The 25,940-nt window shown below is 39.9% G+C and overlaps 1 protein-coding gene across 28 annotated transcripts in view; it reads left to right on the top strand.

The window, feature by feature from the left end:
- CADPS2 (calcium dependent secretion activator 2) overlaps nucleotides 1–25,940 on the top strand; it is a 568,050-nt gene that overhangs the window by 209,602 nt on the left and 332,508 nt on the right. For all 28 annotated transcript variants that reach the window (NM_001363398.2, NM_001009571.4, XM_047421032.1 and 25 more), the window contains one exon: nucleotides 13,290–13,622. In NM_001363398.2, coding sequence (NP_001350327.1) covers nucleotides 13,290–13,622 — 333 coding nt within the window. The remainder of the gene's footprint in view (nucleotides 1–13,289; nucleotides 13,623–25,940) is intronic.

Here is a 25,940-nt window from a genome sequence, read left to right as displayed (position 1 = left end):
AGTGACCTGGAAAAAAAAAATACTGTCACCAAGCACTTACAGTGAGTTCGGAATCTTGTCCCATGGAAATGATGGTTTGGTTCACAGTCTGGAGAAGTTTCTCCATGATAATCTGGATCTGCCTCTGAGTTGGCCCCATGTCCTTCCTGTACAGCACCTCCAGGATGTGGCTGAGCAGCTGACAGCAGGCCTCCAGGTTCTCCTGTCTCTCCAGATGGTACTTGAGCTGATCAGTCATCATGGGAAGCAGGATCTCTCTGTAGTCATGCTGTGTGAAGTGGATATTTAATTGGGGCTAACAGCATCCTTCTCCAACTGCTGCTTGAACATAAGCTTATTGTATTGCAATGTAGTGAGCAGTCGAGATACAGCCTGGTATATAAAATGTCCTCATTTTTCAAATGAATGTCAAAGTTGAAGGGTAAGCAAACCAACTTTAAAGACAAACATTTGGCTCTTGTTTTCTCATTACTTGTGGCAAAAGACATGTATTTTCTGCTAAGTCTTCATTCTTCTGGCAGTTTCTCTGTAGTGTTTACATTTAAGGTGCCATTAATAAAATTTTATGAAGGACCCTAACAAGTAATTGAGATACTCCCCCTTAGTTATTTTATTGTCTACTCTAATGTATTGTAGGTGTTTCTCGTAAACAGACTAATCAGTCAGGAACCTATTCATTTTTTAAAGAATATTTTAATAATTTAGACAGTCCAAGTTTCGGATCATGTTGGCTTTTCCCAGGGTTTACTGCTCTCCTCCCCACCCCCTTACCTTAAGTTTGTTTCCTTTGGCAAAAGATGCACAAGTAGGTCTTTATTTTATTTTATTTTGAGGTTCAAGAGGTTATAATTTCTTTTTTTGTTGTTGTTTTTTTTACTTTGGGTTCTGGGATGCATGTACAGAACGTGCAGGTTTGTTGCATGGGCGTGCATGTGCCGTGGTGGTTTGCTGCACCTATCAACCCATAGTCTAAATTTTAAGCCCTGTGTGCATTGGGTGTTTGTCCTAATCCTCTCCCCTCCTTTAACCCCCAGCGCCCCCAACAGGCCCTGGTGTATGTTGTTCCCCTCCCTGCGTGCATGTGTTCTCATTGTTTAGCTCCCACTTATGAGTGAGAATGTATGGTGTTTGGTTTTCTGGTCCTGTGTTGGTTTGCTTGGAATGATGGCTTCCAGCTTCGTCCACATTCCTGCAGAGGACATGAACTCATTCTTTTTTTATGGCTGCGTGGTATTCCATGGTGTATATGTGCCACATTTTCTTTATTCAGACATATGCACACATATGTTTATTGCAGCATTATTTATAATAGCAAAGACTTGGAACCAACCCGAATGCCCATCAGTGATAGACTGGATAATTTTTAAAAAATTTAGTACACGTTATCATTTAACTCACCTTGGTGGATGACTTTTCCAAAAAATAACTGGAAATGAAAGGAGAGAACATCACTTTAGAGTTTTCACTTGAAATCAGAGGAGGCACACTGGCCTTTTCCGGTACGTGACCATTGTTCTTTCTCCACATCTAGGGCGTTAACAGGGAGCCAAAGTGTGTCTTCTTGGACAGCATAGTCAGAATGGAGCCCCGGGCTCCTTTGCATTTCTGTGTCTGGTGTCACCACAGAGGACTCCGTTTTGTGTGAGTCACAGACAGGTCCCACAGATGGACAAATGCTGCCTTAGTGTGTTTCCATCCAGTAAAACAGTTCATGTCTTAGAGCTTCAGCACACTTGAGGTTCAGATTTTCCTTTTTAAAGTGTATCTCTTTTAAGTTTGGATTACAACACGTATGAATCAGGAAGTAAAATGTTTCCACGTAAAAAAAATACTGGTATTTACATACTGGAAAACCAAAATTATTTGATTTCTAGTGAGACTAAACTTCACCACAGTTACAAAGCTTCATGAATTGATAACACCTGAAAAGTAGTTTTAAAATCTATGTTGCTGTTTCTCCAAGGACAGCATAGGTTATGGAAATTATGAGACAATATTTTATTTGGCATTATTCAGGAGAAAAAGGCATGTCTTATAAGTGAGACTCTTGTACTTTTCTCAGCGTTTTGCTGAACACATGCTGGCAGCCTTCCTGGAACCATCTCATAGCCACAATGATTTGGCAAGCAGATAATGTTTTTCTCGTCATTATAAAATCCTTTTAAATCAAAGAAGTAATGCATGGTTCAAATCAACAGCAATGTGTGAACAATAAGGGCTTCTGTGGAAAAGTATGTTTGAAGCCTTGTTTAGACAGCTGAGCAGACTTACTTTTGGCAGATATAGTTTCTTGTTATAGTAATCACATTTCACTTTTGTTATTAGTTCACCGCGACTTTGTTAAGATATTCAGTGACTTCTTTGGTATATAAGCTGAGTAGATTAATGGGAAGAGTGGCAGTTGGTGGTGCTCAGATTGAAGGCTGTATGTAAGTTAAAATTTACTGAAATGTGGACAAATGTGACATACATAGTGAAAGGTGACAAAGTGCTAGCAGCCCTTGCTCGCTCTTGGTGCCTCCTCAGCCTCGATGTCCACTCTGGCCATGCTCAAGGAGCCCTTCAGCCCACCGCTGCGCTGTGGGAGCCACTCTCTGGGCTGGCTGAGGCCGGAGCTGGCTCCCTCTGCTTGCAGGGAGGTGTGAAGGGAGAGGTGCGGGCGGGGACCCGGGGCTGTGCGGGGCGCTTGCAGGACAGCGTGAGTTCCGGGTGGGCATGGGCTCAGTGGGCCCCACACTTGGAGCGGCCAGCCAGCACCGCTGGCCCCGGGAAGTAAGGGGTTTAGCACCTGGGCCAGCAGCTGTGGAGGGTGTGCCGGATCCCCCAGTACTGCCAGCCCGCCCGAGCCGCGCTGGAGTTCTCACTGGGCCTCAGCCGCCTCCCCGCTCAGGGTTGGGGACCTGCAGCCCGCCATGCCCTAGCTCCCCAACCAACCCCCACCCCCACCCCCCGCCGTGGGCTCCCAGTGGCCCAAGCCTCCCCAACAGGCACCACCTCCTGCTCCACGGCACCCGGTCCCATCTGCCGCCCTAGGTTTGAGGAGTGCCAGTGCACGGTGCGGGACTGGTGGGCAGCTCTGCCTGCAGCCCTGGTGTGGGATCCACTAGGCGAAGCCAGTTGGGCCCCTGAGTCCAGTGGGGACTTGGAGAACTTTTATGTCTAGCTGGAGGATTGTATATGCAACAATCAGCAATCTGTGTCTAGCTCGGGATTCATGGCTGCACCAATCAGCACTCTGTATTTAGCTAATCTGGTGGGGACTTGGAGAACTTTTATGTCTAGCTGGAGGATTGTAAATGCACCCATCAGCACTCTGTGTCTAGCTAATCTGGCTTGGAGACCTTTTGTGTCTAACTAAAGGATTGTAAACACACCATTCAGCACTCTGTATCTAGCTAATCTAGTGGGGACTTGGAGAACTTTTATGTCCAGCTAGAGGATTGTAAATGTACCAATCAGCACTCTGTGTCTAGCTCAGGGATTGTAAATGCACCAATGAGCACCCTGTCAAAACGGACCAATCAGTTCTCTGTAAAATGGACCAATCTGCAGGATGTGGATGGGGCCAGATAAAGGAATAAAAGCAGGCTGCCAGAGCCAGCTGCGGCAACCGGCTGGGGTCCCATTCCCCGCTGTGGAAGCTTTGTTCTTTCGCTCTTTGCAATGAATCTTGCTGCTGTTCACTCTTTGGGTCCGCACCGCCTTTAAGAGCTGTAACACTCACAGCGAAGGTCTGCAACTTCACTCCTGAAGCCGGAAGCCAGCAAGACCACGAACCCACCAGAAGGAATGAACAATTCCAGAGGCGATGCCTTGTAGAGCTGTAACACTGCGAAGGTCTGCAGCTTCACTCCTGAAGTCAGTGAGACCACGAACCCACCAGAAGGAAGAAACTCCGGACACATCTGAACATCTGAAGGAACAAACTCTGGACACACCATCTTTAAGAACTGTAACACTCACCGCGAGGGTCCGTGGCTTCATTATTGAAGTCAGCAAGACAAAGAACCCACCAATTCCGGACACAGTGGTATGTCATAGTTTTCCGACGTGAGGTTACTAAACGCCACACTGAATAAGTTGTGTGCCCAGTGGCATTTTCACAAGAAAGTCACTGGTCGATAATTCCACAGGTGTTGGCCAGCAACCAGCAGGACATCTGGCTGCCAAAGGTGCACCCAGGCTGGGGTGGAGGAATGGGAGAGAAAAGGAGTAAAGGAGTAGTGTTTTTAGATTCCAAGGCCCAGTATTCTGTCTCTATTCTCCCAGGAGGTGTGTGACCTCAAGCCAGTTACTTATCTCCTCTGCTTAAACCACTTAACCTTTAAAAGACGATGATATTGGAGAGGGTACTAGGTGACTGTAAGGATTAAAGGAGTTAATACAGGAAGAGCTCTAGGGAGACAGGATATCTGCTACTTGGTGAGTTTGTCAATGTAAGGAATTCCCATGACAGCTTCGACACCAGCATGGTGCCCTGCTGGTACTCCAGGCAGAATTTCACTGAGAATCCTGGGTCCCACAGCAGAAAGTTGGAGGGTGACCACCGACGCCTGGAGACCAGCTCTGGAACCAGTTTCCACATGTAACCACACTTTACCTGACTTTAACTTGATAACTGTTGTTATGAAAGGATGTAGGATTCAGGTATTTTATATTTAGTGAGAGTAAACCCATCATTGTTAGTTTCATAACTGATAAGCCTGAAAGATTGTCTTAAACTCTATTATTATTTCTGTAAGAACACAGATTATAGGAAGTATTAGATATTTATTAGACAGTATAATTTATTTTACTCACAAAACTAATCTCACTCTGTCCTTTGGGACATTACTCATTATGCTTCCTTCCCTGTGATATCCTTTCCTCCCCTTTTCATATGGACAAGGTCCATGTTTTATACTCCTTTCGTATATGAGCATATAATAGGAATCAGTAAACCTTACTGGTTCATTAATTATTTAAATTATGCAAGTGTATGGATGGGTTTCACAGCTTTAAAGTCTGCCCTAGTTTTGCTCACACCTCTGCCTTCCTACTCACTACTCCTCTGCTAAATACTCTCCAAAATAATCTTTCAACATGTCACTTCCTTCTTTCGTGTTTTCCATTGCCTCCTGTATCAAATTACATCTCCGTACCTATCCTTCTTTGCTTATCCAGGGATTCTTTCTCACTGTACTGTGAGCCCTGCTCTCCGGGCAGTTGATCAGCTGCTTCTCACAAGACGAGGCTCATTCTTTCCCTCTTTCCTCTGCAACATTATTTTTAGTAGTAGTAGTAGTTTTTTTTTTAAGCGATGGTCTTACTCTGTCACCCAGGCTGGAGTGCATGGTTCACTGCAGCCTCTTAACTCCTAGGCTTGGCCTCCCAAAGTGCTGCGATTTCAGGCATGAGCCACCACAGTCCAGCCTTTCCTCTGTGATGTTATTCTTTGTGATTTCTTCCTCTGCAGTATTGTTCCCTCTTCCTGATTCATTAATTATTTAAATTATACATGTGCATGGATGGGGGAATTAAATCATTGGTTTAACCATCCAAACCACTCATTCACTCATCCAGTGGATATTTTCTGGGTGCTTGCTGTCTATGTACGTAGCCTAGTGCTAGGTGCTACAGATAGAATGGTGAATGAAACAGTCTTTGACTTCATGGAACTTACTGTCCAGTGAGGAAAAGAGATAAGAATTAAATTTTTTACTTAAATATTACGGTAACAGTGTGATCAGTATTTTAAAGAAAAAAGAAAAGGTCCTGTAACAGCGTACGATACAGGATCTAGCCAAGCCTGGGTAACTGGGGAAGAAATTCCTGAGTAGGGATCAGCTGGGTGGAGATCTGAATGGTGACTGAGATAATTAGGGGATGGTGAGGTAGACAATGGGAGGTTTTTAAAAGGCCTGTGGGACTGGAGCACGGAGATCCAGCAAGGAAGAATAACTTGTGATGAGGCCAGAGAAGAAGTTTGGGACTTTTTTTTTTTTTTTTTGAAACAGGGTTTCACTGCTGTGCAGTAGCGAGATCATAGCTCACTGCAGCTTAGAATTCCTGGGCTCATGGCTGGGCACCATGGCTCACACCTGTAATCCCAGCACTTTGGGAGGCTGAGGCAGGTGGATCACTTGAGGTCAGGAGTTCGAGACCAGCCTGATCAACATGGTGAAACCTCGTCTCTACTAAAAATACAAAAAAAATTAGCCAGGCGTGGTGGCTTGTGCCTGTACTCCCAGATACTCCAGAGGCTGAGGTGAGAGAATTGCTTCAGCCCGGGAGGCAGAGGTTGCAGTGAGCTGAGATGTTGCCACTGGACTCCCGCCTGGGTGACAGAGTGAGACTCCATCTCAAAAAAAAAAAAGAACTCCTGGGCTCAAGTGATCCACCTGCCTTGGCCTCCCGAGTGGCTGGGACTACAGGCATGTGTCACCACCCCTGGCTAATTTTTAAATTTTATTGTAGAGACAGGGTTTTGCCCAGGCTGGTCTCCAACTCCTGAGCTCAAGTGATCCTCCCACTTTGGCCTCCCAAAGTGCTAGGATACCAGCATGAGCCACTGTGCCCAGTCTTCTTTGAGACATTTTTGAAGTGGGACCTCAGAGGCCATGGTGACGATTTTGGTGGAAGACCAATGAAAAATTTTAAGCTGGAGAAGGATTTAAATGATCAGTGTTTATATATATATATGCCAATTGACAATAAGTTCAGAAAAAATGGTAGTGGGAATAGGGTGGCTGCCAGATAAACCTCTGAAGCAGTTGCAAGGCTGTTTGCTGTCATCCCTTGAGCCCCAGGGAGAGGGAGGGAGAACCGTCATGGGAGATAGAGAGGTGAAGAAGGGCCTGAGAGGATAGAATCAGCAGGGTTCAGGGACAAGTTGTATGTTGGGGAATATAACGTGGAGGATGTGAGGAGTCAGGAATGATTTCCAGGCCTCTCGAGGATGGAAACTGGGATCTGTCACTCACTGAGATAGGCAAGCAGGAGGCAGAACAAATATTGGAAAAGTCATGAATTCTGAGACTTATTTAGAGTGCCAGTGGGACACCTAAGGAGAGATGTGAGGTAATATTGGAGATCTAAATGTGGAGCTTAAGTGATTAAAGGTTGATGGTTCAGGCTTCGTGATGGCCTTCAGAGTATGTGTGATGTGGAAGGCTCCACACCTAATCAGCAGGCTGAGGACAGGGGAAATGTAGCCGCCTTATGATTGTGGGCCTTTCGTTGTCCTCTACACGTAGGGCCAAGAGAACGGGTCTTCATTCCTGCTTTCAGATCGTTACTCTTCCTCCCTCATGTGAAAGCCCATTTCCTTCTGGAGCTCATGCCTTTCAATACATCACTTCCTAGACTTCCAGTTACTGGATATTTATCCATCCCCTGGTTCTTTTCCCACAGTTATCAGCATCATAGGACACCTGTGAGCTAGATGCCTGTATAATCCTCCTGTTTATCTCTGGAGATTTCAGTGTGTGGGGGTAGTAATTACTTTTTCTCAAAAAAAAAAAATATATATATATATATATTTTTTCTTTAGACAGGATCTCACTCTGTCACTCAGTTTGGAGTGCAGTGGTGTGATCATGGCTCACTACAACCTCCAGCTTTTGGGATTGAGCGATCTTCCCACCTCAGTCTACTGTGTAGCTAGGAGCACAGGCATGTGCCACTACACCCGGCTAATTTTTTGTATTTTTGGTAGAGCAGGGTTTCGCCATGTTTCCCAGGCTGGTCTCAAACTTGTGAGCTCAAGCCATCTGCTTACCTTGGCCTCCCAAAGTGCTGGGATTACAGGCGTGAGCTACTGCTCCTGGCCAACAAATTTTTATTAAGCTCTCACTAAAGGACAGGCTCTGTGTTAGGTACTGGATTTATTAGCAAACAAAACAAAGTGGCTGCTGAGGTGCTTACCTTCTGTTTTGATGGAGGAATGGACAATAAATGCATGTCAGATGATGTTATATGCGGAAACAAAAAACAGAGCAAAATGAAAGAGTAAGGCAGATGAATAAAGTGGTGGTGGGGAAGACAGGGCTTCCTCTCAGGAGATGAGAGCTTCTCCTCTTCACCACTCCAGTAAATCTTGTCTGTCAAAAGTGACCTGGTGATGATAAAAACCAGCAAATCTCTCTTCATTTGACCTGATTTCTCTTATGGTACTTGATAATTCTCTATTTCTCTCTCTGTCTCTCTCTCATGATGAGATGGACAAAGGGAGGTTTTTAAAAGGCCAGTGGGACTGTCTCTATCTCTCTTATCTTGACTGAGACTGTCTCTGTCTCTCTTATTCTGAAACCGTCTCCTCTCTTGACTGCTAGTAAATCCATATTTTTTACTAGCAGTCTACTCTGACACCACCAACCTGCCGTGGATCCAGTTATTTTGCCAAATTTTAAAATGTAGGCATTTCAGAAGATTTTGTCTTGACTCTTTCAGTTTGTTTTTGTTTTTTTTTTTTTTTTAACCATACTTTGTCTCCAAACCTGACCTGTACCGAAACTAAATGGATTTTCCATGACTCTCCCAACATTCACCACCATATACAAATGCACACACATGGGCTTCCACCTATATTCTTTATTTTTGGTTAGTGGAATCTAGACACCCCAGTAAAAAAAAATGGAATTTTCCAATTTTCCCTCTCTTATATTTCCACATTTTGTAAATTACCAAGACACATTCATTCTATTTCCCAAATCCTCTTTAACTCCACTTTTCTCTCTAGCCTAGTCCTAGCCCTTATTGTTTTCCACCAGGTCTGTTGTGTTCATGTGATAACTGATGTCCCAGTGTCTGCTCTGGTCACTTGTTGTCTACCCTTGGTGCTGCCACCAATTACCTAACGTATGCTTCTAACCATTTTAGCACCTTGGCTACCCAGCTACCCTTGACCTCTGCATCACCAGATACAGCCCAGAGTCCTCCCTCCCCCCACGTGGCCCCCACTCTTATAGTGAATGTCCCTGCTAGTATGAAAGTCCTTGTATTTCCCTCAAATGGCCTTGCAGTGTTATTCTTTTGTGCTTTATTGCTGTTGTTCTTTTATTTTCTTTTTCTTGAAGTATCCTTTTTTTTCTCTCTTTCCTTCTCACACAGCTCATGGGTTATTCAAAACATGGGTCCCTTGTCTCTGCCCTGTGCTCCTCTCCTCTCTTACTCTGGCCCCCCAGCAGAGTTAATAACTTCTTTTCTTTTGCCTTTTCTCCCTCTGTGTGGGTTTCCATTGCTGCTGTCGCCCTATTATATTTGCATGTGTATCCTGTCTCTCTCAGGTGCTGTGACTGATTGAGGGCAAGGTCTTTGGTTCATTTCTCATTGTGCCCCCAACACTTAGCAGAATCCCTGAAATGTTGTTGACACTAAATGTTGATTACATTACATCTAATTGGATTGAGTATGGCTTCAGGTATGGTTTTGTAGGGGAAATGAGTTCAAAAATGTAAGTTTCTTGGTGTCCTTGTTTCAAAAATGTGATTTGGTTACTTGGTGGAATCTAGCTCTGACTCTGTTAGGCAGAAGAACTTGGAAAATACAAAATGTCTGCCAACTTAGCATATTAGAAATTAAGCAATTAAAGGGTTTTCTGATGTCCCTCCTAAGATATTCATACTTCACTTATATCTTGCTGGTCAAACTATACATACATTACTAAATTTCTCAAAGGTGGTTGTTTTGACTTAGAATATTTTCCTATAGGGACAATCTTGCAGCTCTTCAGTATTTTTGTATCAGTTAGAGTGCACTGTGAAGACAGAGAACACACAATAATTGAACAGGGAACGCTTAATATAAACAATAACAAATTGGTTAGTATGGGTAAAGAAAACTCTAAAGAATATAGGAGTAGCAGAAATAAGGAGCAGAGTACCCAAAGAGGCACCCCCTCCCCCAGGGCTGGGATCCAGACCTCACTGGAGTAGGTGTGTCTTACTGCATGGCAGAGTAGTTCACCGAAGTGTTGCAGGGAGACTTGCAGGGGATTGGCCTTCTGGGGTTCTAGGGGGAAGCTGTCCACAGTGGGGTGCCACACTGCAGAACTCACTGGGAATCTGCCAGTGGGAATGGTACATTGGGAGACCATTCTCAGGGGTCTGGAGAAAAGCTGCCCACGGGTTGCTGCCACATGCCTTCAGGTAAGAAGAGAACCAGGAAGAAGAGCCCTTTTTCTTCCAGTGTACGTCCTCCGGCAGCCTCTACCGATGTTGCTTAAAATTGTGTTAGCTGGCTGGGCGTGGTGACTCATACCTGTAATCCCAGCACTTTGGGAGGCTGAGGTGGGTGAATCATGAGGTCAGGAGTTTGAGACCAGCCTGGCCAACATGGTGAAACCCTGTCTCTACTAAAAATATAAAAATTAGCCGGCCATGGTGGCACGTGCCAGTAGTCCCAGCTACTCAGGAGGCTGAGGCAGCAGAATTGCCTGAACCTGGGAAGTGGAGTTTGCAGTGAACCGACATGGTGCCATTGCACTCCAGCCTGGGTGACAGAGCAAGACTCCATCTCAAAAAAAAAAAAAAAGTGTTAGCAGACACAGGTAGGGCAATGGAAAGGTGGAAATGGAGCTGAAAAGCAACAGACTGACAGCTGGCAGAGTCCATCCTTTTAACTACTGAGCTTCCCTGAGTTCCACCTTGAGATACAACTTTTGCAGAAATTAGGGTACAGATAGACCAAAATTGTGTGTATATAATGTAATATATAAGGTCATATGTGTAAATACTTCTAATATTTGTGAATATAATTTTAAATTGCATATAAATACTTATGCAGGTTATAAATATACAATTTATGTATGTTAAATGTCACTGCTCAATGAGTGATTAGATGAGGTTGAGAAGGGAGGTAGAGACACATCTGAGTTCTGAAGTAGCTCTTGTCATTCTTAGACAAAACATATTGTTAAACATCTCAATTTCATTGTCTTTGATACATGAATATTTAAAGCACTATGCATATACCTGTCACTTAAGAATTAATTTGTGTTGCCTTAAAAACATAAAAAATAAGACAGGGAGACTTTCCAATAGTAAGTAATTGAGCCAGAGCTGGTAAAGAGAGAGGAAGCATTTTGGGAATGTGTTACACATGCAGAGGATCCCTGACTCATGACAGTTCTGCTTATGATTTTTCAACTTTACAATGGTACAAAAGTGATATAACTCAGTGGAAACCATATTTTGACTGCCTATACAGCCGTCCTGCTTTTCATACTCAGTATAATATTTGACAAATTACATGAGATGTTCAACACTTTATCATAAAGTAAGCTTTGCATTAGATGATTTTGCCCAACTGCAGGCTAATGTAAGTGTTTTGAGCATGTTTCAGGTAAGTTAGGTGTATTAAATGCATTTTTGACATGATATTTTTAACTTATGACAGGCTTATTAGGACATAACCTCATTGTAGTTTGAGGAGCATCTTATTTGACAATGCAGAATTTACTACCAGTGTTTCAGTACGGAAGTCTGTCAGCCGAAATATTTGAGCTCCAGGAATCTTCTTGCCATTGAGTAAAGATAGGAAACAAGAAAAACAGTTTGTGTGAGTGACCTTAAGAGGGAGAACTAAAGTGGTGGGAAAAGGCTTGGGGTCAGGTGGTTGAGCATGCCAGCCCCAGTGGTTCAAGTGAGTCCACTTTGACTGTATCAAGCAGGTGTGCTGCTTGCCCACATGCAGACAGGCGTGGAAGTGTGGTGCAAGTAGTATGATCATAACTTGGGAGTACTTCACTATAATGAGTCAGTTCTTAGGGTAAAAGTTGAGGCCAGGTGTGGTGGCTCATGCCTGTAATCCTAGCACTTTGGGAGTCCAAGGCAGGAGGATTGCCTGAGCCTAGGAGTTTGAGACCAGCCTGAGTCATATAAATGAGACCCCATATCTACAAAAAAAAAAAAAAAAAATACAAAAACTAGCCCAGGCATGATGGTGTGTGTTTGCAGGTCCCAGCTACTTGGGAGGCTGAGGTGGGAGGATTGCTTGAGCCTGGGATGTCAAGGCTGCAGTGAGCTGTGATTGTGTCACTGGGCTCCAGCCTGGGCCACAGAGTGAGACCCTGTTTCAAAAAAAAGAAAAAAAAGTTGACTTGAATTTTTGTTCTGTAAGCTCAATAACAGCATATAATTTATGGAGGTTCTATTAAATTGTCCTGCAGGCTTTTCTGGGAGAGTCTTTTGACATCATAGAAAGAATAAAGCAAGAATAAAAGCAGTCTTATATGGCTTATGGAGGATTCTTAGGAATATTGACAGCATAACAGAAGTTTAATGAATCTTAACTGATACTTAGATACATAACTTAGCAGAACAGAGAGATTTAAGGCCAAATCTCTGGTGTCTCTTCCCAAATATGACCTTATTACTGTACTTATTTTTACCCAACCCTTGCTACCTGTCTCATGAACATCTTACTCTATGGTTGTCTCTATTGTTGTTTTTATTTTATTTTATTTTCCAGTAGTAATGGACAATTAGAAGTCCCTTAGAGGTATTGCTTTCCAAGCCTCCATTCTTTCTAGTTATGATAAGTGTGTGAGAAGTTGCAGAGGTGGTAAAATCAGGGATGGGGACAGGTATATTCTAGCCCCCCAGCTGTTGGGCAATTTTGAGTAAAAATTACATATGATGAATATTGACTTGGATATTAGACTTACCCTACTGTTGATCTTCAAGTCCACACTCAAATAATACATGATTCTTTCCCTGCTGAAAAACCAGCTAGAACTCTCAGACACAGGTATGGATGTTGGGTTCATATCTCCAGTTGTTTTCCTAATCATCTTTTTTTTTTTTTTTTTTTTTGCTTATAAACAATGGTCATTTATTTCTTACAGTTCTGGAGGCTTGGGAAGTCCAAAATCAGGGTGTTAGCCAATTTGGTGTCTGTGAGGACCTGCTTCCTGATTCACAGACAGCTGTCCTTTCACTCTGAACACATGTGGTGGAAGGCATGAGAGAGTTCTGGAGTCTGTGTATAAGAGCACGAATCACATTCATAAGGACATCACTCTAAAGGATTTCGTTGTAGAGGTGGGAGACATACAGGTCAAAGTAAACCATCTTACTGGTATTTTTTACTGTATACTGTGTCTCCTACACATTTTAAAATTTTAGAGAGATTTGGGGCCAACATTATGACATTAGTTACCATGTATTATAAAACATTTTGAATCATTGTGGAGTATTTGGCTGAAATATTTGTAGAAACTCTGGCTGGATTGCTGAAAGCAAGTGGTGTTAGCATCTACACCTAATTGTAATTGTTTTTTGTTTTGTTTTGTTTTGTTTTGTTTTCAGGTTTTTCTAAAGAGTGACCGAGTGGCCAGAATGGTACAGAGTGGAGGGTGTTCTGCTAATGACTTCAGAGAAGTATTTAAGAAAAACATAGAAAAACGTGTGCGGAGTTTGCCAGAAATAGATGGCTTGAGCAAAGAGACAGTGTTGAGCTCATGGATAGCCAAATATGATGCCATTTACAGAGGTGAAGAGGACTTGTGCAAACAGCCAAATAGAATGGCCCTAAGTGCAGTGTCTGAACTTATTCTGAGCAAGGAACAACTCTATGAAATGTTTCAGCAGATTCTGGGTATTAAAAAACTGGAACACCAGCTCCTTTATAATGCATGTCAGGTAAGTGGTCTCTGATATTTTCCCTTCCCCTGTCTGACTCGTGGAATGAACATGAAGTATTTACAAGCCTATGAAGATGTCCTTTACTTGCTATAATCACTTTACTTGGAAAGTTGAGCAAAATTGAATTTGAATAGATCACATAGTGATATTTGAGAGAAGTTTTGAAAAAAGTATTTGGTAGAAGGAGAAGAATATCAGTACTTCTTATCCAGTAAGTAATCATCCCCATGTGTCCTACTGTAGGACATTAGATTTGTGCCTATTAGGTATTAATGGGCCATGCCATGTAGAGTAAAAGGAAAATCATCTCCTATCTGAAGAAGCTTGGCAAATTATAATAAATAGGTATTTCTCACTGCAAAATAATATTTTATAAAGATATGATGCTGGTCTTCTGAGTTGTATGGAAGTAATTAAATTTCAAATTTTTTTATTTAACTCATCCAGATTGAAATAAATTGAGGATGATAGTTGAACTATGTAATTTAAAGAGATGACAGAGTGAATATTATATTTTCTCTTCAGTTGTTATTCTAGTTATACATACAAAAATGGGATAAAGGCCAGGCATGGTGGCTCACGCCTGTAACCCAATGCTTTGGGAGGCTGAGGCGGGCAGATAGTGAGGTCAGGAGATTGAGACCATCGTGGGCAACATGGTGAAACCTGGTTTCTACTAAAAATAGAAAAATTAGCTGGGCGTGGTGGTGCATGCCTGTAGTCCCAGCTACTCAGGAGGCTGAGGCAGGAGAATTGCTTGAACCTGGGAGGCGGAGGTTGCAGTGAGCTGAGATCGTGCCACTGCACTCCAGCCTGGTGACAAAGTAAGACTCGTCTTAAAAAAAAAAAAAAAAAAAAGCAGGGAAGGAGGTATAAAATCATGTTTCACATTTTTCATTTTTTAGACCCAATGATTTGTCTAATAATGTAGTCCTTCTATATTTGCATTTTGTTTGTTTATGTTGAGGGTATAAATTATTTAACTATGCCCTAATATAAAACTTAAATTGATAAAATTCTGACACTTAAAAATTTTTGTGTTACCTTAAGAGTTACACTTCTATAATATACATGTTTGTTTTTAATCTTTTTGCAAATCTTCTCTGAATTTCTGTGTTATATCCATATTGGTTACTTTGCATTGGTAATTTGTGGATCATTTCAAGTCAACAAATTAATAGAGTTAATAGTAAATCACTGAGGCACTTTAACCCTGTGAACAATTTGTGTACTCACTGTAATTGATTTCATTGTTTTATTAAACCAGGTAGTTATTTGATAATAGTGGAAGAAGACTATAAAACCAAAATCTTCTATTTGAAAGATAACTTCAACTGGAACTTTGTATTTTTAGTGAAACAGTAGCTCACTTGTACAAATAAATGTTGATTAACATAATTTAGTGGGAAAACTCAGATTCAGACATTCAGTAGATATTTGTTGAGCTTTATTCAAGTCCAAAACCTCTGTAGGTATTAGGGAATCCAAGTTGAGCGAAAAAACATATTTTTTCCTCTGTAGTGGCTAAAGTCTATATAAGATAAGACTTGATAAGTCCAAGAAAAGTCATTTATTTGCAGCTTGCCCAGCTTTTTATTCTGAGGATGGGAGTGATGACTTTCAAGCTCTTTATATGTCTCAGTTAAAGCTATAATTCCTTTCAGTTCTGAGATTTGAAAGAAAAGCTTATGGATTATTTTTTATTGATTTTAAAACACAAAGATATTATAAGACCTCTAAATGAGTTATTACATATGGATTAGAATATACTAGATGTTACAAGGTTATAAAATATATTTCCATGTTCCTATGAGTTTATGTTATTAACTTAAAATATGTTTAAGTTGTCTGCCTACTAGAGAATCAGCTGGACTGTGGGCACCCTGGTTTTAGTCTTCTGTGATTTGAAACCTACTTGCAATTCAGATCTCCAACTGTAGCAGTGGCTTTGTCCTTGCTCAGAGTTGGCCTGAACAACAATAAAAAATAGCAGTTTTGTTTATTTGTCCTTTCAGTTCTATCAGTATTTGTCTCATATATTTTGATACTCTATTAGGTACATATATTTGTAGTAGGATTGTTATGTTTTATTGTAGAATTGACTCCTTTATCGTGATGTAGTATTCCTTTTTATCCCTGATTATTTTCCTTTTTCTGAAATCTACATTGTCTTAAGCTAATACAGCCACTCCAGCTTTCTTTTTATTAAGGTTAACATGGTATCTCTTTCTCCATCTGTTTACTTTTAACATAAGTCTTTATTTTTAAAGTGGATGTTTTGTAGACAGTGTGCAATTGGGTCTTGAAGTTTTTCTTTTTTTTCCGAGACGAAGTCTTCCTCTGTTGTCCAGGCTGGAGGGCAGTGGTGTGATCTCAACTTACTGCAACCTCCACCTCCCGGGTTCAGGTGATTCTTCTGCCTCAGCCTCCCAAGTAGCTGGGATTACAGGCACCACACCACCATGCCTGGCTAATTTTTGTATTTTTAGTAGAGATGGGGTTTCACCATGTTGGCAGGGATGGTCTCGATCTCCTGACCTCATGATCCGCCCGCCTCGGCCTCCCAAAGTGCTGGGATTACAGGTGTGAGCCACAGCGCTTGGCCCAAGTTTTCTTTTTTTTTTTTTAAATCCAGACTGATCATCTTGGTCTTTTAATGGGTATGTTTAGGCCATTCATATTTAAGGTGATTACTAATGTAGTTGGATTAAATTTTAAAATCTTTGTAGCTTTTACCACTTGATGCATTTGTTCTTTGCCCTCCCCTAGTTTTTGTGCCTTCTGTAATTTTGATTGAACACTTTATATGAATTCCATTTTGTGTCTTTTGGTGTACTGCTTATACATTTTTTTAAAAAACGAAACAAAATTTTGGTGATTCTCCTAGAGTTTAAAATACATATTTTTAAATAATCTAAGCCTACCATCAGATAACACTATACTATAAGGCTTCATGTGTACTGCAGCTACTCCATAATAGAGTATATCCAATTCCTTCCTCGCATCCCTTGTGGCATTGCTGTCATTCACTTCATTTATAATATGCTATAACCCCCAATATATTCTTTCTATTATTGCTTTGAACAGTTATCTTTTAGCTCAATTAAAAATAAGAAAAATAAAAGATTATATGTATTTTACCTTCATTTATTCCTCCTCTGATGCTCTTTCATTTCTTTATGTAGATTCAAATTTCTTACTGATATTATTTTCCTTATCTCTGAAGAACTTTTATCATGTCTTGTAGGCCAAGACTAGTGGTGATGCAGTCTCTCAGTTTTTGTTTGAGAAAGTCCTTGTTTCTTCTTTGCATTTAAAGTATAATTTCACTGGATATAGAATTATCTGTTAGATTTTTTTTTCTCTTTCAGCGCTCTGAAAATTTCACCACACTGTCTTTTTGTTTGCATGATTTCTGATGAGTTTAATGTAGTTCTTATCCTTTACTCTTTAGAGGTAAGGTGTTATTTTCCCCCTTATGGCTTCCTTCAAGAGTTTTTCCTTCTTTCATTTTTCTGCAATTCGAATATGCTGTGTCTAGGGGTGTGTGTGCTTGTGTGTATTTCTTTTGCTTGGTGTTTTTCTGAGCTTCCTGTATCTGTGGGTCAGTGTCTATTATTAATTTTGGAAAGTTCACTGCTGTTATTACTTCAAATATTCCTTCTGTCCTATCCCCTCTTTATTCTTTTTCTGGTATTCTAGATATGTTTATGTCACCCATGTTTCTGTTACCCATGTTATCCCACAGTCCTGGGATGTCCGTTCTGTTTGTTCAACTCTTTTTCTCTTTGTATTTCAGTTTGGGAAGTTTTTATTGACATGTCTTCAAGCTCACTGATTCTTTCCTCAGCAATGTCAAATCCACTAATGAGCCTATCAAAGGCATTCTTCATTTTTTTCCACGGTGTTTTTTTTTTTTTTTTATGTCTAGCATTTCCTTTTGATTTTTTGGTAGTTTCCGTCTCCTGCTTTTATTATGCATTGTTTTTGCATGTTTTCAACTTTTTACATTAGGGCCCTTAGCCTATTAATAATAGTAATCTAAATTCCTTGTTTGATAATTCTAACATCTGTCTCGTATCTGAATCTAGTTCAGATGCTTGCTTTATCTCTCCAGATTGTGTTTCTTTTGGTTTTGTGCTTTTGACATGCTTCATAATTTTTTGTTGTAAGCCAGATATATTAGGTAATGAGAACTGAGAACTGAGGTAACTAAGGCTTTCATATAAATATTTATGTTAATCTGAGTAGGAGTTGAGCTGTGCTTAATGTTTAGTGTTTCTTGTAGCCATAAGTACGAGAAACTTTTTTTTTTACATATTATTAAATCTCCTTATTTTTAATTTTTTTATTATACTTTAAGTTCTAGGGTACATGTGCACAACGTGCAGGTTAGTTACATATGTATACATGTGCCATGTTGGTGTGCTGCACCCATTAACTCATCATTTACATTAGGTATATCTCCTAATGCTATCCCCTCCCCACTCGTCCACACCACAAAGGGCCCAGTGTGTTTCGTTCCCCTTCCTGTGTCCACGTGTTCTCATTGTTCAATTCCCACCTATGAGTGAGAACATGTGGTGTTTGGTTTTCTGTCCTTGCGATAGTTTGCTGAGAATGATGGTTTCCAGCTTCATCCATGTCCCTACAAAGGACATTAACTCATCCTTTTTTACGGCTGCATAGTATTTCCATGGTGTATATGTGCCACATTTTCTTAATCCAGTCTATCATTGACATTTGGGTTGGTTCCAAGTCTTTGCTATTGTGAATAGTGCCTCAATAAACATACTGTGCCTGTATCTTTATAGCAGCATGATTTCTAATCCTTTGGGTATATACCCAGTAATGGGATGGCTGGTCGAATGGTATTTCTAGTTCTAGATCCTTGAGGAATTGCCACACTGTCTTTCACAGTGGTTGAACTAGTTTACAGTCCCACCAACAGTGTAAAAGTGTTCCTATTTCTCCACATCCTCTCCAGCACCTGTTGTTTCCTGACTTTTTAATGATTGCCATTCTAACTGGTGTGAGATGGTATCTCATTGTGGTTTTGATTTGCATTTCTCTGATGGCCAGTGATGATGAGCATTTTTTCATATGTCTGTTGGCTGCATAAATGTCTTCTTTTGAGAAGTGTCTGTTCATATCCTTTGCCCACTTTTTGATGGGGTTGTTTGTTTTTTTCTTGTAAATTTGTTTGAGTTCTTTGTAGATTCTGGATATTAGCCCTTTATCAGATGAGTAGATTGCAAAAATTTTCTCCCATTCTGTAGGTTGCCTGTTCACTCTGATGGCAGCTTCTGTAATGGGCAAAAAGTGTAAGCATTCCCTTTGAAAACTGGCACAAGACAGGGATGCCCTCTCTCACCACTCCTATTCAACATAGTGTTGGAAGTTCTGGCCAGGGCAATCAGGCAGGAGAAAGAAAGAAAGGGTATTCAATTAGGAAAAGAGGAAGTCAAATTGTCCCTGTTTGCAGATGACATGATTGTATATTTAGAAAACCCCATCATCTCAGCCCCAAATCTCCTTAAGCTGATAAACAATTTCAGCAAAATCTCAGGATACAAAATCAATGTGCAAAAATCACAAGCATTCTTATACACCAATAACAGACAAACAGAGAGCCAAATCACAAATGAACTCCTATTCACAATTGCTTCAAAGAGAACAAAATACCTAGGAATCCAACTTACAAGGGATGTGAAGGACCTCTTCAAGGAGAACTACAAACCACTGCTCAACGAAATAAAAAGAGGACACAAACAAATGGAAGAACATTCCATGCTCATGGATAGAAGAATCAATATCGTGAAAATGGCCATAATGCCCAAGGTAATTTATAGATTCAATGCCATCCCCATCAAGCTACCAATGACTTTCTTCACAGAATCGGAAAGCACTACTTTAAAGTTCATATGGAACCAAAAAAGAGCCTGCATTGCCAAGACAATCCTAAGCCAAAAGAACAAAGCTGGAGGCATCACGCTACCTGATTTCAAACTATACTACAAGGCTACAGTAACCAAAACAGCATGGTACTGGTACCAAAACAGAGATATAGACCTATGGAACAGAGCAGAGTCCTCAGAAATAATACCACACATAAACAACCATCTGATCTTTGACAAACCTGACAAAAACAAGAAATGGGGAAAGGATTCCCTATTTAATAAATGGTGCTGGGAAAACTGGCTAGCCATATGTAGAAAGCTGAAACTGGATCCCTTCCTTACACCTTATACAAAAATTAATTCCAGATGGATTAAAGACTTAAGTGTTAGACCTAAAACCATAAAAACCCTAGAAGAAAACCTAGGCAATACCATTCAGGACATAGGCATGGGCAAGGACTTCATGTCTAAAACACCAGAAGCAATGGCGTCAAAAGCCAAAATTGACAAATGGGATCTAATTAAACTAAAGATCTTCTGCACAGCAAAAGAGAAACTTCAGCTTCCTCCAGTATCCTTGTTTTTGTCTCCCCTTTTGACTGGGCTTCCCTAAGGACTCTGCCCCAGGGAAAGTCTACATCCTGCAGCTCTTTTAGCTGTCACCAATCCACTCTTGTCATCCTAGAGCTGTGTTGGTATTGTGGTAAAGTGTTGGAGAGATGGAGTGTCCTCTAATCTGATTAAATCTCAGTCTTTTAGTGGACCTGTAACCTTCATAAGTGTTTCTGTCCCTGGTCTAGGAGGATTGCTCCCTCCTACTACCATATTCTTCATTCTCTTCCCTGGATGCAGCTTCCCAGTCTCTTTTTTTGAAGTCCTGTCTCCTGTTCTCTCTGTTTTTTGTTTTTGCTTTTCAGTACGTGAGTCAAGAGGGCTGGAGTGGGGTGGTATTCTCTTCTTCCACCTGGGATAAGTTTTCAGTGTTTCCCTCAGGCAAAACCTTTCTGCTTTTGCTAGAGAGAAGGATCTGGGAGATTGAACAATGGCTTTCTCCCCCTTTTTTCTGCCATGGCCATACAGGGATCTTTTTTGGATCCTCACTATTAGAACTTTGTGGGGTAACTGAAAGGAAAGTCCAGCAAAGTTTGGGAGCCTCTTTATGATTGTGGCTCCAGGAATTTCTTACTCTCTGCACCCAGCTTATAGTAATTTTTCAAAATTACTAGACAAGTAAATATTCCTACCACTCATGGCATACAGCAGCTTCTGCTCCAAGTGCTGTGTCTTTCTGGATTTGCCCATCTTTCTAGATTTTGGTTAGTGGTTTCCCCTGCACACTCAGTTCTCTGAGAAGTCCAAGAAAAGTCAATGATTTGCAGCTTGCCCAACTTTTTATTCTGAGGATGGGAGTGATGACTTCCAAGCTCTTTATATGTCTGAACTAAAACTATAGTTTCTTTCAGTTCTGAGATTTGAAAGAAAAGCTTGAGGATTATTTTTGATTGATTTTAAAACAAAAAGAAATTATAAAGAGTACCCCTGTAAATAAGGACATATAATAATAATTATTTTACAGAAATTATGAAAATAAATTGTTTAGAAAGCAACCAAGACACTTTTTTTTTCCTGAATGCTATGCAAGCATACCTTGGAGATATTGTGGGTCCAGTTCCAGACCACTGCCACAAAGTGAATATTGCAATAAAGCAGGTCACACAATTTTTTTTTATTTCACACTGCATATAAAATTTATGTTTTACTGTACTGTGGTCTATTAGGGGTATAATAGAATTATGTTTAAAAAATAACCTATGTATCTTAATTTAAAAATACTTTCTTGTTTTAAAAAATGCTACCAAGCATTTGAGCCTTCAGCAAGTCATAATCTTTTTGCTGGTAGAGGGTCTCGCCTTGATGTGGATGGCTGCTTAATGACTAGGTTGGCTATATTAGTTTCTTTAAATAAGACAACAATGAAATTTGCATAGCGATTCACTCTTCTTTTCACAAAAGATTTCTGAATAGTATGTGATACTGTTTGATAGTATTTTACCCACAGAAGAACATTTTTCAAAATTGGAATTAGTCCTCTCATACCCTGCCACTGCTTTATCAGCTACGTTTATATAAATATTCTAAATCCTTTATCATTTCAACAGTGTTCACAGCATCTTCACTAGGATTAGATTTCACTTCAAGACACAACTTTCTTTGTTCGTCCATAAGAAGCAATACCTCATCCATTCAAGTTTTATCATGAGACTTCAGCAATTTAGTCACATCTTTAGGCTCCACTTCTGTTTCTAATTCTTTTGCTATTTCTAGAACATCTCCAGTTACTTCCTTTACTGAAGTCTTGAATCCCTCAAAGTCGTCTGTGAGGATTGGAATCAACTTCTTCCAAATGCCTGTTCATGTTGACATTTTAACTTCCTCCCTTGAATCACAAGTGTGTTAATGGCATCTAGAATGGTGATCCTTTCCAGAAAGTTTTCCATTTACTTTGCTCTAATCCATCACTATCTGTGGTAGCTATAGCTTTACAAACTGTATTTCTTAAATAATAAGACTCGAAAGTCAAAATTCCTTCTTGGTTAATGAGCTGCAGAATGGATCTTATGTTAGCAGGCATGAAATCAATGTGAATCTTCTTGTACATCTCTATCAGAACCCTTGGGTTACTAAGTGCATTGTCAATGAGCAATACTATTTTGAAAGGAATCTTTATTTTCTTAGAAGTCTCAATATTCAGTATACCATGCTGGAAACATATGTGCTGTCATCCAGGCTTTGTTGTTCCATTTATGGAGCACTAGCAAAGTAGATTTAGCATGATTCTTCAAATCCCTCATGTTTTCAGAATAGTAAGTGAGCATTAGCTTCAACCTAAACTCACCAGCTTCATTAGCCACTAACAAGAGAGTCAGCCTGTCCTTTGCAGCTTTGAAACCAGGCATTGACTTCTTCTCAGTAGCTATGAAAACCCTAGATGGCATCTTCTGACACAAAGCTGTTTCATCTACATTAAAATATGTTGTTTAGTGTAGTCACTTTCATCAATGATCTTAGCTAGATCTTCTGGATAACTTACTGCAGCTTCTACATCAGCACTTGCTGCTTCACCTTGCATTTCCATGTTATGGAGATGGCTTATTGCCTTTTTCCTCATGAACCAACTTCTCCTAGCTTCAAACTTTTCTTCTACACCTTCCTTACCTTTCTCATAGCCTTCAATTTGGCTGTTTGGTGCAAGAGGCCTAGCATTTGACCCGTCTCTTCTTATGACATGCCTTTCTAAGCTTAATCCTTTCTAGCTTTTGACTTAAAATGAGAGATATGCGACTCTTCATTTCACTTGAACACTTACAAGCCATTATTGGGTTATTAATTGGCCTATTTTCAATGTTAGTGTGTTTTAGGGAATAGGCAGGGCTGAGCGGAGGGAAAGAAATGAGGAAGTGGCTGGTCTGTCAGAACACACATAACATTTATTGAATGAATTTGTTGTCTCGTATGGGAGCAGTTCATGGTGCCTCAAAACAGTTCCAATAGTGACATCAAAGATCACGGATCACAGATCACCTTAACAGATATAATAACAATGAAAGAGTTTGAAATGTTGTGAGAATTATCAAAATGAGACACAGAAGTGAGCACATGCTGTTGGAAAAATAGCACCTATAGACTTGCTTGACTCAGGATTGCCACAGACCTTCAATGTGTAAAAAAACCATAATATCTGCAAAGTGCAATAAAGAGAAACTCAATAAAATGATGTACGCCTGTATATTTTTTCTTTTGTTATATTCCAACAAAGGTTAAAAAGAAAAGATAAGGCAAAGCAATAGAAATCACAGAAACTAGCCTGTTCTTTATAGAAAGGAATAGCCTGAGAAGAGAAATAGAAGAGCAGGCCTTGGGGAGGCAGGTAGGATCTAAAGCCAATGGAGCTGCTGGAACCTGGCTCAGGTGTATGTCTGTGAGATTTACCCCACCTTCTCCATGTTTCAGGAAAAGCTTTGAGACTTCTCCTAACTGTAACAGTGTCACTTCTGTATGTGTTTACCCTTGTGTGGCCCCTTGTTTTTGGCAGCACAAATCTAGAAAATCTCAAAGATGTTGCTTGCTTAAGAGTCAGAAGCTCAGGATCGAGGGCTGTTCTGGTGAAATGTGCAGGATGGCAGCAGCCAGGCAATCTCTGGCAACTCAAGAAGGAAAGGACACGAATGGGAAGGGAGCCTTGCCAGGGCTGCCACATGACATCGATGGCCATCGTTTGGTAATATCCTTTGTTCCAGAGCTTCAGGATTAGCATCAGGAGTGGAAAAACAGGAAACTCTCTTCTGAAAAAGGCTATTTACATTACTTTGAGTCAGAGCCAGTAACATATTAATTATCAACATTAAGGCATGAAGGAAACTTTTAAAACACTAAGATAGAAGATAGCACATACCATAGTTAAGATATGAAATTAGGGATAATAGAAAGACAAATTGTTATTGTTATCAAGAAAACATAAAAAAGAATAAAAACAATGTAAGTAGCACCTAGATTAGCTATTGTGCTAATAAAATTTCATACTTTGGATTCTTTGATTTGAGAACAATGTATCTGCAGTGGTGCGCATTCATAGAACAAAATATTAAGAAAAAAGTAAAGATCAACATGTACAGTCTAAAATGAGTGGCATAACAGTACAAGAATCTGAAATTGTTAGCTGTGATTTAATTGAATCAGGATATTATAAAAAGGAACAGGAGTGAAGGAAGAATAATCTGTCAGTGGAAAGTTTAATTTTGGAATATTTTAAGGAAATGCAGTTAATTTCAAATATATATATTCTTTTAGAGAAACAATGTTATATAATATTAAAACTGTATATTTGATAGTCTTAGAATAATTTTATTTCACTTTTTTAAATGAAAATGCTGTTACTTAAGTGGTACCAGTTAATCAACTGCCTTTCCTAAAACAAATGTGTTTATGAAAAGTTATTTTTAAATAAGACATAAGGTAATGCAGTATGTTCAAATTAATTAGTTAACCCATTATCTATAATCATGCAGAGCATATATATATATGTAGAGAGAGAGAGAGAGTTTTCACTAGGCATTGTGTTAAATAATAGGAACCTAGAGACAGATAAAACCTAGATTTTTGCAAGGTTTATAGAAAAAAATGCTGTTGTAAATGCTATAGTGGTGTGGTTAATCTCTGGTTCTGGATACATCATGAAGAGGTTCTCCAAAATGAGTAGATGCTAAGGTGTTCTGGGCAGAGGGACAGGCACATGCAAAGAATGCAGGCATGAAATGCATGGCTTTTTGGGGAACTTCACATCGTTGACTACTGGAGTATGAGCAGGAGATGGGGCTGTATTTGAGATATTAACAGAGGTAGGTAAGCACCTTATGGACTATAGAGAGGCATGTAATCCTAAATGAACAGAGTCTGAAGAGTGGGATACATAGTACCATATCTACTCCTATAATTTTCCTTTAACTTCTATATTTGTCTCTTAAAATGATTAAGTAACTAAATTTTATAGCTATCTAGACCCTGCTCTTTTCTGCCAAAAGCAGCTTTCATTAATCTTTTATAATCTCATTCCATTAACTGAAGAAAGCGACTCACCCAGATTTACCCGAGTGTCAAAGCAAAGTTAACTGAGATCTTGTTCACTTATCCCTCCTCCCACTCAAATTCTTCATGTCTGAAGACTACACCACCCATGTTAAGTAACATCACAGAACTGTTTGGGTATTTGTAAGGGATAAGCAGAAATATTTGTGAATGGTTAAAAAGTAGGCTTCAAGTTTATGATTTCTTTTCCCTAGAAGTTTTTGCTTTGGAGATTAAGTGCTTTGAGTCTAAGAGTTTAAAGAAATCAATAAATAGGCAGTTGCTGTGGTCACCGTGGGTGTCTTCCCCTAGAAGTCCAGGAGCCATGAGGCATTAACCATTTTGGACATCTTCATTCAACATGTGCAGAAAGAAAACAGGGAGAGAAATGTGAATCCCCAAAGGAAACTGGAGACTGACTTCCACCACTGTCTTCTTTTTTTTTTTTTTTCCAACTAGTAGCCTGTGATTGATAATAGGTTTCATTTAACATACAGTAATGTGTCTACTTCAGCAGAAATAATAGCACATTCTACTGACAGTTACATTGGATACCTTTCAAAATGACTTTCAAAAATGACTTCAAAATAGAAAAATAAATGCCATGGTAATGAAAATTAGGGAGGAGTATATTTTTCTCATATATATATAATTTAAAATCTCAAAACATTTGAGGAGAATATTTAAGTAAATGTATTAAATGGCAGATTTGTGTTTGGGGATGCAGCAAGGGAAAAACAAGATCTTAAGAATAGTTAGATTGTTATAGAATTTTTGAAATTCTGAAATTAAT

This window comes from Homo sapiens, chromosome 7 (assembly GCF_000001405.40).
Source record: "Homo sapiens chromosome 7, GRCh38.p14 Primary Assembly".
NCBI lineage: Eukaryota > Metazoa > Chordata > Mammalia > Primates > Hominidae > Homo > Homo sapiens.
The sequence above is the reverse complement of the archived record's forward strand: the minus strand, read 5'-3'. Positions and strand labels throughout refer to the sequence as shown.